Consider the following 16202-nt stretch of genomic DNA (forward strand, 5'->3'; position numbering starts at 1 on the left):
TGAGCCTAAGCTAAGTCATCATATCCCCTGTGACCTGCACGTACACATCCAGATGGCCCGTTTCTGCCTTAACTGGTGACATTCCACCACAAAAGAAGTGAAAATGCCCTGTTCCTGCCTTAATTGATGACGTTGTCTTGTGAAATTCCTTCTCCTGGCTCATCCTGGCTCAAAAGCTCCCCTACTGAGCACCTTGTGACTCCCACTCCTGCCCACCAGAGAACAACCCCTCTTTGACTGTAATTTTCCTTTACCTACCCAAATCTTATAAAACGGCCCCACCCTTATCTCCCTTTGCTGACTCTTTTTTCGGACTCGGCCCACCTGCACCCAGGTGAAATAAACAGCCTTGTTGCTCACACAAAGCCTGTTTGGTGGTCTCTTCACACGGACTCGAGTGGAAGTCCTCACTGTTCTTTATATGCTAACTATAATGCATTAGCATGCTAAAAGACACTCCCATCAGCGCCACTGCAGTTTACAGATACTTTTGGCAATGTCGGGATATTACCCTATATGGACTAAATAGGGAAGAAGCTCCGGGTTCCATGAACTCTCCACCCCCTTCCTGCAAAACTCATGAATAATCCACCACTTATTTAGCATATGACTAACAAGTAACCATAAAAACAGCCAACCAGCAATCCTTAGGGCTATTCTGCCTGTACATAGCCATTCTTTTGTTTCTTTATTTCTCACATAAACTTGATTTCACTTTCCTCTGTGGACTCCCCCGCCCTCTGCAAATTCTTTCTTGCACAAGATCCTAGAACCCTCTCTTAGAGTCTGGATCAGGACCCCTTTCTGGTAACACAAACAATAAAGAAATTTGTTGTTCTCTATGTTCTCATAGCAGTGTTTTCTGTGTTTTTTTTAATGGGTAAACAAAACACAAAGATTTTTCACTGAGGTTACAGATTATTTAACAATGATGCCTAGGTTATATTTGTTGTCATTGTTTTGTAAATCTAGGCCATCTTATAGTCTCCCCAGAGATTGCATCAGCAAGCATTCTACTCACTTGGTTCATGTTTACTGTATTTAAATCCTGACTGTACCATAAATTAGAAAAGAAAAGAGAATATTAAAAATTAGATCTAAATTAATTCCCACACTCCAGTTCAACATTCCTCATCCTAATAACATGAGATGTTTTAAAGACTTCAAATTGAGAGAATAGTTTGTATCTTAGATTTGATTCATGAGGAGATGAGCTTCTATCATCAATTTGAGTCTAATCACCCTGTGCCTTCTTCCTCCCAAAGACTGGGACTGAATTACATGGCTTCAAGTTGTAGAAGAACATTACATGGATCTCATTTAAGGCTATCACAAGAATTCACAGACCTAAACCAAATATACTATTTTCTTTAATTGTATTTTTCATTTCTACCAAATACTTGTTTCATCTTCACTCTTATTACCATACTACTGTCTATGATTATCTCAAACCTGCTAAGTAGCTTGCAGATTAAGCTCAAACATGTCAACATGAAAGTTAAAGCCTTTTAAAACATTTTAACTTCTCAATTTTCAGGTTCCTGTTTCCCTGCTAAAACACAAGTAAGAGACATAGGACTGTCCCATGTCCTAATCTACTAAGAAAGTGAAAATACCAATGATGTCAATTCAGTCATGGTGCTGGTATACTCATTTCAATACAAGACTCTTTATATAACTTGTATGACGTATATTAACCTTGCTCTTGCAGAAAGAGGTACCACTTTATTTTTTTATTTTTATTTATTTATTTATTTATTTTTGATATGGAGTCTCGCTCTGTCACCAGGCTGGAGGAGATAACACTTTCATGTAGAACAGGGGTCGTCCCCAAACCTTGGGCCACAGACTGGCATCACAGGAACCGGATTCACAGCAGGAAGTGAGTGGCTGGTGAGGGAGCATTACCGCCTGAGCTCCCCCTCCTGTCAGATCAGAAAGGGCCTTAGATTCTCATAGGAGCGCAAACCCTATTATGAACTGGGCATGCGAGGGATCCAGGTTGTGTGCTCCTTATGAGAATCTAATAATGCTTGATGAGCTGAGGTGAAACAGTTTCATCCCAAAACTATCCCCCTCCACATCCCCTCCATGGAAAAATTGTCTTCCATGAAACGGTTGCTAGTGCCAAAAATGTTGGGGACCACTGATGTAGAATCAAAAGGTAGGAGATGGGGAGAAAATTCCCTACTTTGGCTATAGGTCTTATATCAATTATGATGTGAACTCTCTGAGAGTGGCCTAAAATTGAAGTCAGTCAGATGAAATTCTACAACTGAACAACAGGTAGCAAATATTCAGCTATTATTTTTTATATTAACAATTGGTCTGGGTCACTAAAATCCACCTAATTTTTTTCTTATGCTAAACACAAAGAAAAGGGTGTACAATATTTATTCATAAAAAGCCCATGTCTATATTCCCATCAAAACAAGGGAGATTATTATATAAATAATATTCATTTACATATTTATTACTCCAAACTATTTTACATAAAAGTGACAAATGTAAAATGGCTTTGGCAAAGCATAAATAAACATATAAACAAATAAAAGGAAAACGTAAAGATTTTGGCTCTCAACATATGAGAGCAATTTTAGACTTCTATGACCAGGTATACGGGCACAAACAGTGTCATGATGTCTCAGTCTTTCGCCGTCCACCTTTGGCCAATGGGTCTGCTCTATTTTCAGGTGAGCTTTTCTTTGTTGCGACAATATGTCCCCTAGTATTTCCAGGCTAAATTCAATCCTTCCAGAAATAGCCCGCAGAAAAAACGAAACTATAATCTCAAAGGATGCAAACACACACACACACACACACACACACACACACTCACACTCCCTGCACACAAAAATCAACAACCTGGAATTGATTTTCATTGGCCAGATTTAGTCACATTCTTATCTTTGGAGTTACAGAAAAAGAAGAAAGTCCAATACAATAGCATGCACTGAAAATGCTAACTGGTAATTACCCAAGGAAAATTAACGTTATGTTAATAAAATAAAATTATGAATATCTATTGTTGATTCCAAATAGATGCAGAGAAAATAATAGATATCCACAATTGTTTTACTCCTCCCAGGTGTTTACTGCTCCTACATTATTCACTTCTTAAACTATAAGCTTAGACATACGAATTAAACTAAGCTCCTTAAATGTGTCATGTTCTCTTATCTCTGGAACATTAAGCATTTAATTTTCATCACCTGAAATGCATTCTCCTTCCCTTTTTCTTTGGCTAAATCTTAATTCTCTTTTGTATATTAGTTTAGAAATATTTTTCTTGATCCCACTTACATTGTGTACTTAGCCTCATTTTCTATCTTCCACACTTCCACAATGGTTGTACAATTTTTACACTCACACTAGTAATGAATGACCCTTCCTATTGCTCCACATCCTCTCCAGCATTTGGTGTTTTCCGTGTTCTGCATTTTGGCCATTCTAGTCTTTTATCGCTAGACTATAAGCTGTATAAAGGAAGAGATGTGGCCTTCCTTAACCACTAGTATCTCTAATCTCAACCGAGTGCCCAATGCAATAGCAGATAATAAATATTTTAACAAATGAATGAATCATCTGAGTAACTTTTAAGTCACCAGAAAAATTGACTTCCTCTTAATAATTTCTGCAAACAAGAACAGAGAGCTGACTGCATATGGACTTCACAATTGAAGTTAATTTTAGTCCAGTAATCCCATAAAGAAGTGACAAAAATAACAAAAGCAAACAAAAAACCCTAAAACACAGTTGCAGAATTGCCTAATGAGGAATTTATATTATTTTGTTTATTTTATCTTTTTCCAATCCTGGCTCTCTCCTAAAAGTCATATGAAGCATCCCTAAAATCATACATTCAGCAACGCCACACCAGATGTATGATTTATGATGACTGGAAGAGTAGATAGGTAATTTAAGCCACCCCTTGAAATGGATCCAAAGCCATAACTCTTATTCTTAAGCTATAGGCTTTTTCTTGTCATATCTATCCCAAAAGGATGTTCAGGCTACCATGGTGACTAAGATTAAAGGTATATGTCTTCTGCTCTTTTTTTTTGCTTTTCTTGCAATTTTTCAAAGGAAATTAATTACGTACATTTCAGACACATGCTTGCATCTCTCCTCAATATCAACAAGGAATAATAGCACATCACAATAAAAATAGACTATGTTAATTTTGGTCAACTTCTAATTTTTTAAAAATAGATGTATAAGTAAAACTCCTGGAGTTCATTTTCATGTTTCCTATTGATCTCCACCTGCCACAGATTCTTGTCTACTATATGATAGCATTTCATTAAAAAAGAAGATATTTCAATTACTCTTGCCAATATTTTTTGTTTGTCTCAACCCAATTAGTAATATGTCAATTACATGGAAATCCAGAAATGTTGCGGAATTTCAGGTTTCTGTATTCCCAGTTGCTCTGATCCTCTTAATCGATACACAGTAATTAATCAAGATAGCTTGTTGATTTGCTGCTGTTTGTGTGGGAATACCTTTAGTGGCTATAGGACATTTCCTCTAACTCTGCTAAGCAGAGGTCACTAAATGAACCCAGAGCCATTAAAATAGTATCTCCCTGCTATGTTGGCATACTATGGGTACAGCTCTCCCTTCTACTGAGCTTTTAGATTCTCTTTTAAATTCTAAGACACATTTTTCTACAACAGAAGACAAGGTTAAAACTATGGCTAATAAAACATTGTGATTCTAGTTTATGTTGGACAAGAGAGAGCTTTGATAAATTCCTCTTATTGATTACTTAGGTGTACAGTCTTAGTAAAAACACTTTCAGGTTTTCCTCTTACGTTCCTCATTCAACTTGTGTTGCTTTTACTTCCATAGTCATTGATGTCTACTTGGGAAGTGTCACATTATGGTAAAATAAGCGATGAATGAGGTAGTCTAAAGTGTGTTTAAAAACTATCTCTTTACCAACCAGCCGTCCACCCTCTTCAGATATGTTTCTTAGTTTGGTAAGTCACTGGTTTGTAAATTTTTATTATTTTTCTAACTACCATTCATCGTAGAAATACTCATATTATATGTTGATCTCTGCTCCATGTATATTTGCCTTCTTCCTCTAATCATCATATGAAATATAGTCTGTTTTGGTTAACAAAGTACATGATATCTAACATTCTGTTAAAACATAATTGGTAAGAATATATTTACCATTTTAAATTTTAAGTAGGCTCTGGGTATTTATTTCTGAAGTCCTTACATTACATGTTAAAATGGTCTTTTAAAATAATGTTTGCTTTTAAAAATAATTTACCAATTTTATCCTTGTGATTTTAGTTTTATTTCTGAACTAAATAAGTTGAATTCTTGTTGGCTAGTTACTATAATACTGTTTAATAATCATCTAATTAAACATTTATTGGTGTTCATTATTAAATATTAATTTTATTTTTAGAGCCATGCATTTTTTTCTGATGCCAAATATCATCTCAGGTCATGCAAATCTCATAGACCCTACCTAGTATGTCCAAATAATACAATATCCCTAATTTTTAAGGTGAATTTTTCCCACCCTCCTTAGAGTTATGCAGTTTTCAATAAATTACATTGAATTAAAATTTTTAATAAGTAATTTGAAGGGTTGATTTTTTTAAAGGTGTACAGTGAAAAAAGGCATAATGTCTATCACATTTTGGGTGTTCAGTAGATCAGTAGATAGTGAATAAATAATGGAATAAATTACATTACTTGCAGAGAAAACTTCATTTTTGCTATTCCTAAATCTCTGCTTTTGGGTAATCTCCTTCGCCAGGATTACATTTTTTCTTAGTGTGTTTCTGCAATATTCCTTCTAGCATGGGTATATAAAGAAAAGACATTTCTTCAACTTATTAGCCTGCTGATATATAACCTATGATTATGTCGGTGTACTTCATATTATTTTTAGGGTTTATTTAATATAAAAACAACAGATGATTTCTAATACTACAAGAATTTTTGGCCTATTAAATTATAAGTTCCTTTCCTAGTGCAAATGCGGGTCATTCATTTGTGCCACCTCTAAACATAATGTGAAAACTTGTAATGCTTTCTAATGTGTTTCTTTAGAGTCACCTTCACTTGATTTGTTAAATAAATTTATTTGTTTGATCATTAAAATACCTGTGATGTTGCTATACATTGTACAGAATAAAGAAGATGCTTTAGGTGAAAGGTTTATGACGTACATATTTTTACACTAATTGATCTAAAAGAATTAACTGCAGTTACACCCTAATTTGTTTTCAAAATTATTTTTTAAAAGCTGTCATGGACTAAAATACCCACATCTAAACCTACTCAGATTTTTCTTATTAAATTTTAAAGAACATATTTTAGAAGTATATTTTTATGTTTTCAAAGACTTAAATATCAATAAAGTAAAAATGAACATGCCAGTCCAACTCCAATGGGAACCTGTCTTATGAAGGAGATCAATGACGATTCTAACTAAGCTTCTAAGAAAAGAAAAATCATCTGTGAGCTAGAAGATCTGCATTTCAACAGGCTGTTTATATATTTACTTACATTGAAAAGGAGCCAAATGCTGTGGTTTTTACTTCTTAGCTTTTCCAAATAGGATTTTTTTTAATCCTTCATAAAAATGCACTTTAAAAATAGTTAAATTGTGTGCATTTTTTTGCCTTTTCATATTTAAGGAAAATAGGGCATATATAATATGGAGCAAACACAAAATCATAAACAGTACATTAAATTGAAGTAAATGATGCATTGCATTTAACATTTTACTTTCAAAGTTGTGTAGAAATAGAATATGACCTAAGAAATGGGAAACTAGGCCAATTGGGGTTTTGTGTGATGATAGTTTCCCAGTGCTTATGTGATAACAGGAAGATATCAAAATACATTGTCAGAAATTCTTCCCTCCACTGCTATCATCCACAGTATCAAAAAAATAAGTGGTGAAAGAATGGCAGCAAAATACTTTTCCAGGGCACTCAATGATGCAGTGACTTGGAGGGAATCAATAAGACAGAAAGATGAGAGAGCCAAATGTATTCTAGCTACGGAGTAAAACTTCTTAATCTTCCTTAAAAGTCTCTTGTGGTCAGCTAGTAGAACTACAAAACCTGGAAGCCTTTACTGGGATGCCATGAGGGAAGGATGCATGAAAGTGTAAGCTAATTCTGACAAAAACCTCTTGACTGGGAGCACAGAACTGTTTAGAAAGAACACTGGAGTCTCAGAATTTGTAATTGCAGTACGGTCTTTTTCAAAGACTTGTCTTTATGTTTTGGGGGAAACTACATATTTTGAGACTCTTTTCTCATCTATGAAATGAAGCTGATAATATGTATACCACAGGACATATTTTTGGAAGTGCATAATACAGTGTTTTAAAATTACCGTATAATTCAATTATGGTAGAGGTTTCTACCATTTTTAAGAATAATCTCTAAAGCATGTGAATTTTAATGGTTTTCAACTAATAATTTAAAAAATAGACTTTTAAACAAGTTCTTACCTTATGATGATACACTTATGGATAAATTATCAAGCCTTGAAGTACATAAAATAATTCACAACTTCAGAAAAAAAATCTCACTTTTGTCAGATTTTCTTTTTAGGGGGATAGTAATAAGGGTAGCGTACTCCTTAGGTTGAGTTAACCAATTTCTGACAAGTTATGTAGCAAACAAGCATGATTTAAAAAGAATTACTGGCCTGGCACAGTGACTCACGCCTGTAATCCTAGCACTTTGGGAGGCTGAGGCAGGCGGATCACGAGGTCAGGAGTTTGAGACCAGCCTGGCCAACATGGTAAAACACTGTCTCTACTAAATCTACAAAAAATTAGCTGGGCGTGGTGGTGTGCACCTGTAATTCCAGGTACTCGGGAGGCTGAGGAAGGAGAATTCCTTGAACCCGGGAGGCGGAGGTTGCAGTGAGCCGAGATCACACCATTGAACTCCAGCCTGGGCGATAGGACAAGACTCCATCTCAAAAACAAAAAAATAAAAAGAATTACTATAAGTTTAATCACAAGAGCTTGATTGATAGTGTGTACACTTGTAAACATATTTTTACTTCTGAATTATTATAGAGATCATTGAAATTAATTTTGTTTTTCACTATGCCTTTTAATCTGCCCATGGATTTTATTTTTTTCTTTTTTATAAATAGCATCTCCCCTACTAATATAATAGATGACATAAAAGGATAATGCCTTTTAATCACAGTTACAAAATACAGATGTGCTTCCAGTTAAAACGTTTTCTTTGTAAACTCCCACCCCCATTATGTTCATAATGTAATATAAACACATTAAAAATGCCTTCCCAGCCAAAGATTTGATATCTTAATTCTGTAATGAAAATCCAGAAGTCATTTCAGATGACTAGATTTTAGCCACCAGTCCCATATACCTATCTACCTTTCAACATCTATGTTTCTCAACTGCTTTCACTCCTCTTAATAGGAGTAGACTGTTTCTAGCTGAGGACAACCTTCCACTTGTACAGTAAGTCCTCTCACCCAATAAGAGCTGTTGCTTCAATAACATCCCCTCTCAACTTCTTCTGAATTATCATTTTTTTGCCATGTCTCTACTGGATCATTATCATCAGCACATGAACATTCTCTTACATATTCTCTTAATACTATTCCAAATGGGCTTTTACTGTTCCTCCACCATCACACTTCTCTTGTCAGTCAGCCCTAAGCTACACAATGTTAAATCCAATGGTTAATTCTTATCCCCTACCTTACTTCATTCATCACCAGTATTTTTTAAAACCACTTAATTGTGGTGTGACTGACATGTAAAAACTGTACCTATTTTTGTATACAAACCAATACCTCGGGGATGAGTATATACCTATGAAATCATTACTACCATCAAGGCCATACATATAGTCATCATCTACCAGATTTCCTCCCCCAACCCAAACACTTAACATAAGATGTACCCCCTTAGCAAATTTAAAAAAAAAAATAAGTTCCGAATGTCTACTATAGAGCATACTGCCTGTAGCTAACATCAAGAGTATTTTAAGCAGCCAATTACTTCCTTCTGGAAGCATTGGCTACATTTTGTATTCATGACAGGTTCAACTCTGTTTTAGTCTTCTTAACGGTTTCTTTTCATCTTAACCCTCTTCTTTACTCACTTTCCAGGAACCTAAGCAAGTTGCATAGCTTTAAGCACAATCTTTATGCTGTAGACTTCCAACTTCATGTCTCTAGCCTAGAAATCTATTCTGAATTTCAGACACAAATCAAATTTCCTCTACCACATTGTCACTTGGATGGATAAGTGTCATCTTAATATGTCCCAAATGTAGCTCCCCAAGTAGTACATGATAATTACATTCTTCTAGTTCCTTTCTGTCTTAAAAAGAAATTACTGATATCTCTGCATTTCCTTCTCTCTCTCTCTTTTTCTCTCTCAACCGCTATTAGTAAATTCTGTGCGTCTACTTTCAAAATATAATCAGGGAGGTATCAATTTTCACCTTGATTACAGTTGCCATAATAATCTGATCCTCAAAATCTCTTGCCTTATTACTCAATATCATCCTAACTATTCTTCATTTTTCCATTGTACTTCATTTCCATCTGTTCACAAAACAGAAGCCATAATAAAAATATCCACTTTAAAAATCTTACATCAGATTATACAACTGTTTCTTCAAATTCTACAGTATTTTCTCATTTTATGTACAATCACAGGAAATATATTTTGTAAATAATTACATATTATGTACATAATTTTGTTGAAGAATGACTATGGTAAGTGATTAAAAAAACTTGTCAGCATAAAAAAATTACAGTAAAGTGAAATTCAGCGGTCAGAGTATAACAAAAACATATTTATAAGAGAATAGGTATTAAATAAAAGCTTTTTTACGGCAGTATTTAAAGAGTTGATATTGGGCAGTGTATTGCAAAATATTTAGTTTCCATTGGATAAAACAAAATGGGTGATATGATTATTTATTTTAAAATACCAATACATAGAATACACAATAAATTATACCCTTTCAATTATATTAGAATTTATGGTGAAAAATGTTAAATTTCATCTCAAAATGTATAAGGGAGAAAATTCTTGAAATTCATTTATGGTAGGTACAAACATGTGCTTGGAGATTATTGCTGTAGAGCACCTTCTAATTGTTAGAATTGTCAGGGCCATTTGCAAACACCAATTGCTTTGATAAACTCTCTCAGCTTAGGCAATTTTAACACATCAATCACATGTTTTGCTCTTTTAAAAAAAAACATTAAAGTCTTCAATAAGGGAAAACTACAAATTTTGCGTTCATTTGAAAACACTTTCAATGAAAACCAAACGTAAGTGGGGTACCAGGAAGGTTCTATGAGTAAAGTGCAACCTTGGAGCCTGGCTGTCTTTGCTTAAGTTTCATGAATACGTTTTTCAAGCTAAGTCTTGAGAATTTAAATATAACTTGCTTTTGCCTTTTTTAACCTATTTTTAATTATTTAACTAATTCAATTTTGTGAGTACACTTTTCAATAAATTATCATGCTTGGAACAGAATCATATATGAACTGTGTTACTGTTACATAAGACAGTATATCTCAAAGTATAGTTTCTCTGAAGGGAGAATTCCTACTAAAGACTCAGATTCTAAGGTGTTATCCTAAATGAAATGAGAGTTTGATGCTGGGAAAAGAAGTTCCACAGTTAATTGTGATAAACACTATTTCAGAACTACAATGAGAGATTATATAAATCTGTAAAGTATAAATTTTTTAATACATTTAAGTGTATGTCATTTTTCTAAAGAGTAGGGAATGTTAGAGAAAAATATGCAGAAGAGAAGATACTGAAGCAGTCTTGAAGAAAGAGCATGAATTTAGTAGGAAAGCAGAATATTCCAGGAATAGGAAGCACCATATGCAAGAGCACAGAGCACTCTGTGAGATGATCCTCTAAAGGGAAAACCACATCTCATCCTTCACCGGCAGAGTCAGAGACCAAGTTAAGCTGTATTTTATGGCTATTAATAAAGTAAAATAGCCATCAAACTGAGTGGCTGCCAAGTGATTTTTTCTGTCTCAGAATTTAAGAAGGTATCTCCAAGAGATAGGAAAGTGAATAAAATATATGAGGCCCAAGTGTAATTTATTTTATAAAATACACATTTTGGGGGAGTGATTTTAGATTTACAGAAAAGTTTAACAATAAAACATAGTTTCTTTATACCATTCATCCATCTTTCTTAACAACCTAACAATAATATATTTGTCCATCTTCTAAAGTTAACATATTGCATAACATTTTCTAAAGTTAACATGTTATATAACATAACATCTTCTAAAGTTAACATATTACATTTATGATATGTTTCTTTTATATAACTATAAAGCATCCATCAAAAATTAAATGGTAACATTGAAACAATAAGCTAAACTACAGATTTTATTTGGATTTCCTCACTTTTTCCACTTTTTCTGCTCAGGATCAACTCCAGGGTACCATACCGCACAGATCATTTCCCATAAGTCATATGCTTTATGGATACGATACGTTTAAAGTAAAGACTGAATCTGAACAAGTTTTTAAATAGACCAGTTACCGTACAAAGTCTGTATAAATAGTGTACCAGAAAGCCATATTAAATATTTTAAAGACAGGCTGGGACACCTGGTAAGTCCCTGTATCACTGCTAAGTATTGAAACTTAATAAGTTTAAAAAAAAGTTCTACTTTTCTGTTTATTCGCCAGTCCATATGAAACAAATCAAGACCATATTACATTTTAACGATAAATTTAGTCTATTGTTTTCATTCATTTATACTCTGATATGAGAGCCATGCTAAACGCTGCTAATTTTAATATGGGTAATCAGAGCTATGACATTTAGTAGTAATTTGAAAATTAAATTCAAACTCTAGAATTGTGAAGAAAAATGTCTTTAGCTAAAATCTGAATGAGTTTGCTTGAGAAAAACAACTAGATTTAATCATTTTACAGGAGCATGGTAGGACATTTGTGATACATGTTGTGAAATTTATGACAAAGTCTTCTGTGAGAATTTTAAAAGAACATTTTTCTTCTTGTTTAGTTTTACTGTCAAATTTAATATTTAAGTCTTTCATTACCTTTATCATGATTGTTCTAACATTAAAAAATCAGATATATTTCTTCTGTGAGTTTTACCTGCATTTTTTTCTGATATATTTGAATGTATATTGTCAGAGATAAGGTCTTACCCATTGCATTCTTTTCTTTAACATGGTAAAAATGAACAGAACTGCCTTTAAATTAATTTTCTTTGAAAAGCATAATGCAAATTTCAGGGAATTGACTATATTGCTAGTGTCTAAACTATGTGAAACCATAAAAACACCAACTTAACTAACTACCAATCGTCCATCCAAGTACTCATCTATTAAGCACTTTCTGATTTTTATTATTGTTATAAAATACCAATTTATCATTACTTTACATCTTAAAATTATATTGTTATAAAATACCAATTTATCATTACTTTACATCTTAAAATTATAAAGTAGTAGGGAAAGTTGAGTTTAGAATGAAAAAGATGGTATATCCTTATTAGATCAGTCTTTCTAGTTACAAGAGTCAGAAACAGACATCATAAGTGCTTTTGCATAAATGAAAAGTCTAGGATGAGTTTTCAGATATGACCTGATCCATCAGCCTCCAATGATTTTTTAAGATTCACCTCTTTCTTATCTCTGAGTTATGCTTACTTCTGTATAGCCTTTACCCTCAGAGTCCTCTTTATGTAGTGGCCTCTAGCAGAACCCTCTGATATTTTTTTTTCCTCCTCAATTCACTAAGACTGTAGGCTTTTTGTGTTTGGAGTTTTCCCTTTCTTCCTCCATAGTGAGAAAATCTCCTCCTGGAAAAACACTGGAATAGTTGTAGGATTTACCTCATTCTTTTTTTTCTTGCTGAAATCACAGTCCTGTCTTGACTACCGTACAATGTCTTAAAACAATTGTTGCAAATCTTGTGCATTATTTTCTAGTTATTTATAATGGCATGTGAGTCATGGAGGAGTTATACTTTCAAATTTAAAAGCAGAAGTCTGTTTACCCATTTTTAATTGCAATATATTGACATAATAGTTAAACCTGATGAAAAACACCAGAAGTACTGAGACATGCGTACTTAAAATGTTTAGGCAATGAAGGCCCCTATGCAGGAATTTGCAGGAAAGACAATGGCTTTATTGGTTTATCTTATTAAATGTTAATTACACCTTTGAAAAATCTCTAATCTAACCTTTTATTTATTACCACCACAGAACCTCCAGTACCACTGCTCAACTCAGATGCACTACGAACAAGTTCTTTGTGATATTTCAGTGTTCTGTCTTCCTTCAGGCCTTTTCTGTGTAGCTATTGAGTCTTTTTTCCTATTTAAACTAAATTCCCAGGAATCCTTCTAATTAACTCCCATTAACTGAGGTAAAATGAGAGCCTGTCTCTCTCTCTTATTTAGCTAAAAGGAGCTCATAAGCAATAGTTTATGTTAACATGGTGACTAGACTCATACTTAGAATATGCATTTGGCGGTGACACTGGGTCAAGGGAAAATTTATGAAAACCCTATTTGCATCTTTGTTTGCATGCAGTGGCCAGTGGCATTTTGGGTCTTATATAGTTAGGTAAGAGAAGAAGTTGCCCTGAAGATGAGAGTTTGGGTATTTATTCATCACTAATATATAGCATTATTAGATTTTTTTAGTGCGCAGGTAGAAATTTGTATCTTCTATTCTTAGAAACCTATAGCAGGAAAGAAACCCATTATAGAAACATCTCTCCTATTCTGAGTGGTTAAAAAAATCCATTGTTGAATATAATGGCCGTAAACTCACAGCTCAACTAATAGAATATCAGGACAGAGCAAATTCCAAAATAATATATTTTATATAAATATAAAATTTGTAAAAATTAAAGCCCGGATTGGTAATGATTTAGAGTTGCATATTTGAATAAATATTTTTAAAACGATATGGATTGGCTCACGTACATGGAAAATGCTACCTAAAAATCCTTTGCATCTAAGCATTGTGTGAAAATAGCAATATTCTTGTCTTGTAGAACATCCTATGACAATATTTAAAATAGTCTGGACTGTGGAGTGATCTGTAAAACTGTCTTAGGAAAGAAATAAATTATATTAAATTGAACTACAGAAAATTTTAAGGGACTACATCCAATTTGTGGGAAAACATATAACAGTTTAGAGCATTATTAGATCTTGTATTAAAGCAATATGATCAAGGAACAGGTAAAATATTGAAATATAAATTATTTTGGCTGGAATGGAGGTAACAGAGGTATTTAGTTAAAAAATAATCTAACTTGTGCAAATGTAAGCTTTATGTTTAACAGCTGCCATTGGTTCCCAGTTGATAAAGTATATTTAATAAGGCCTACTGTGTGTCAGGACAAATTTCAGATATCTCTCAATTATTTTTCTTGTTTTAAACTTCCACATAACACTATGAAGACTTTATTATTATGCTTACTTTTTTACACGTGAAATTTAAGGCTAAGAAAAATAACTAATGTCACTCTTATTAAACAAACACGTATTGTACAACTCTGGGAAATGTAGTGAAAGAGTTCAGTATATGTCACTCCGAAATATACCTCTGTATTAGCCTGTTCTTGTACTACTATAAAAAAATACATGAGACTGGGTAATTTATGAAGAAAAGAGGTTTAACTGGCTCACGGTTCTGCAGACTATACAGAAAGCATACTGGCTCCTGATTCTGGGAAGTCCTCAGGAAGTTTCCAATCATGGCAAAAGGCAAAGGGAGAGCCAGGCACTTCACATGGCCAGAGCAGCAGAAACACGGAGCGGGAAGGTGCTACACACTTTTCAACAACCAGGTCTCTTGAGAATTCACTCACTATCATGAGTGACAACACCAAAGGGGATGGTGTTAAGCCATGAGAACTGCCCCCATGATCCAATTACCTCCCACCAGGCCCCACCTCCAACATTGGGGATTACAATTTGGCATGAGATTTGCGCCGGGACATGGAGCCAAGCCATATCAATCTCTATGGCATATGACTATTTTGAAGTAAATGCACTTTAAAAATGGCAGGTGCAAAAATAATGCTGATGTTCTTTCCTCTTAAAAGCAGGAGATAAAATTCTCACATAAAAAATGCCCTCTCTATACCACAAGGAAAACATCATTCTTATCATCAAGGGCAAAAAGTTGAGACTAAGGGACATCTGTAAACACAAACTTTGTTAAACTTACCCTTACCTTTCTAGTCACTTTTCCACCCAATTAACTCTCTTAACCTAAATCCCTTTGCCTTTTCACATTTTCACAATTGACCACTCTTTGTCAAAACCATTACATAAGCATTCAACGCTAACTGCTTCTTTGGGTCTTCATTTGTTTAGGGGATCTTCATTTCTTTATGAAAGCTCTTGTGTCATGTAAAACTCATGTTAAACAAATGTGCATGCATGTTCCTTGTTAATCTGTCTTATGTCAATTTAATTCTCAAGGCCAGCACAAAACCTTAAAATAATAAAGCTAAAAATATGCCTCTACTACACTGGCATAGTAAAATGAGAACAGGCTTTGAGCAGGGATACAGGACTAGAAAGACATATCCTACTGGCTATGTGTCCTTTGTTCAGTTACTTAAATTCTCTGTGCTTATTCAACTTTAAAATGGTTATGAATATAATACTTACCTTCTGTGTTAATGTAAATGTTAGCCGTGATCTCTCTCTCTCTTCCCTCTCTTTCTCTCTCTCTCTCATCTAATCAAGCAAAGTATTTGGCCCATTCTAGTTATTCTAAAGGTTATAGTGGACATAGCTGTTCTTATTATGGTATATTGGCAGGCACTGTATGAAATACATTCCATTTATTATTTAAACAAACCTATCTATTTTTGATGATCTGGAAAGACTAAAATGACGAGGAACCAAAGCTCAGACAGTACCTTATTTTACTGTCTATTTGGGTAAATAGATAACCTAAATAATATGGTTTGGTTCTGTGTCCCCACCCAAATCTCATCTTGAATTATACTCCCACAATTCCCACATGTAAGAGATAATTTGAATCATCGGGGCGGTTTCCCCCATACTGTTCTCATGGTAGTGAATAAGACTCACGAGATCTGATAGGATAAGGGGTTTCTGCTTTTGCATCTTCCTCATTTTTCTCTCGCTGCTG

General features: G+C 34.0%; 1 annotated feature.

Moving 5' to 3' along the window:
* Positions 15135-15665: an enhancer, noted in NCBI's record as "NANOG hESC enhancer chr9:11053818-11054348 (GRCh37/hg19 assembly coordinates)". NCBI's record gives its function as "activates a minimal SCP1, AML or CMV promoter by ChIP-STARR-seq in primed H9 embryonic stem cells {active_cell/tissue: H9 hESC(primed)}" and the evidence as "EXISTENCE:reporter gene assay evidence [ECO:0000049][PMID:30033119]".

This window comes from Homo sapiens, chromosome 9 (genome assembly GCF_000001405.40).
Source record: "Homo sapiens chromosome 9, GRCh38.p14 Primary Assembly".
In the NCBI taxonomy this organism is placed as follows: Eukaryota; Metazoa; Chordata; class Mammalia; order Primates; family Hominidae; genus Homo; species Homo sapiens.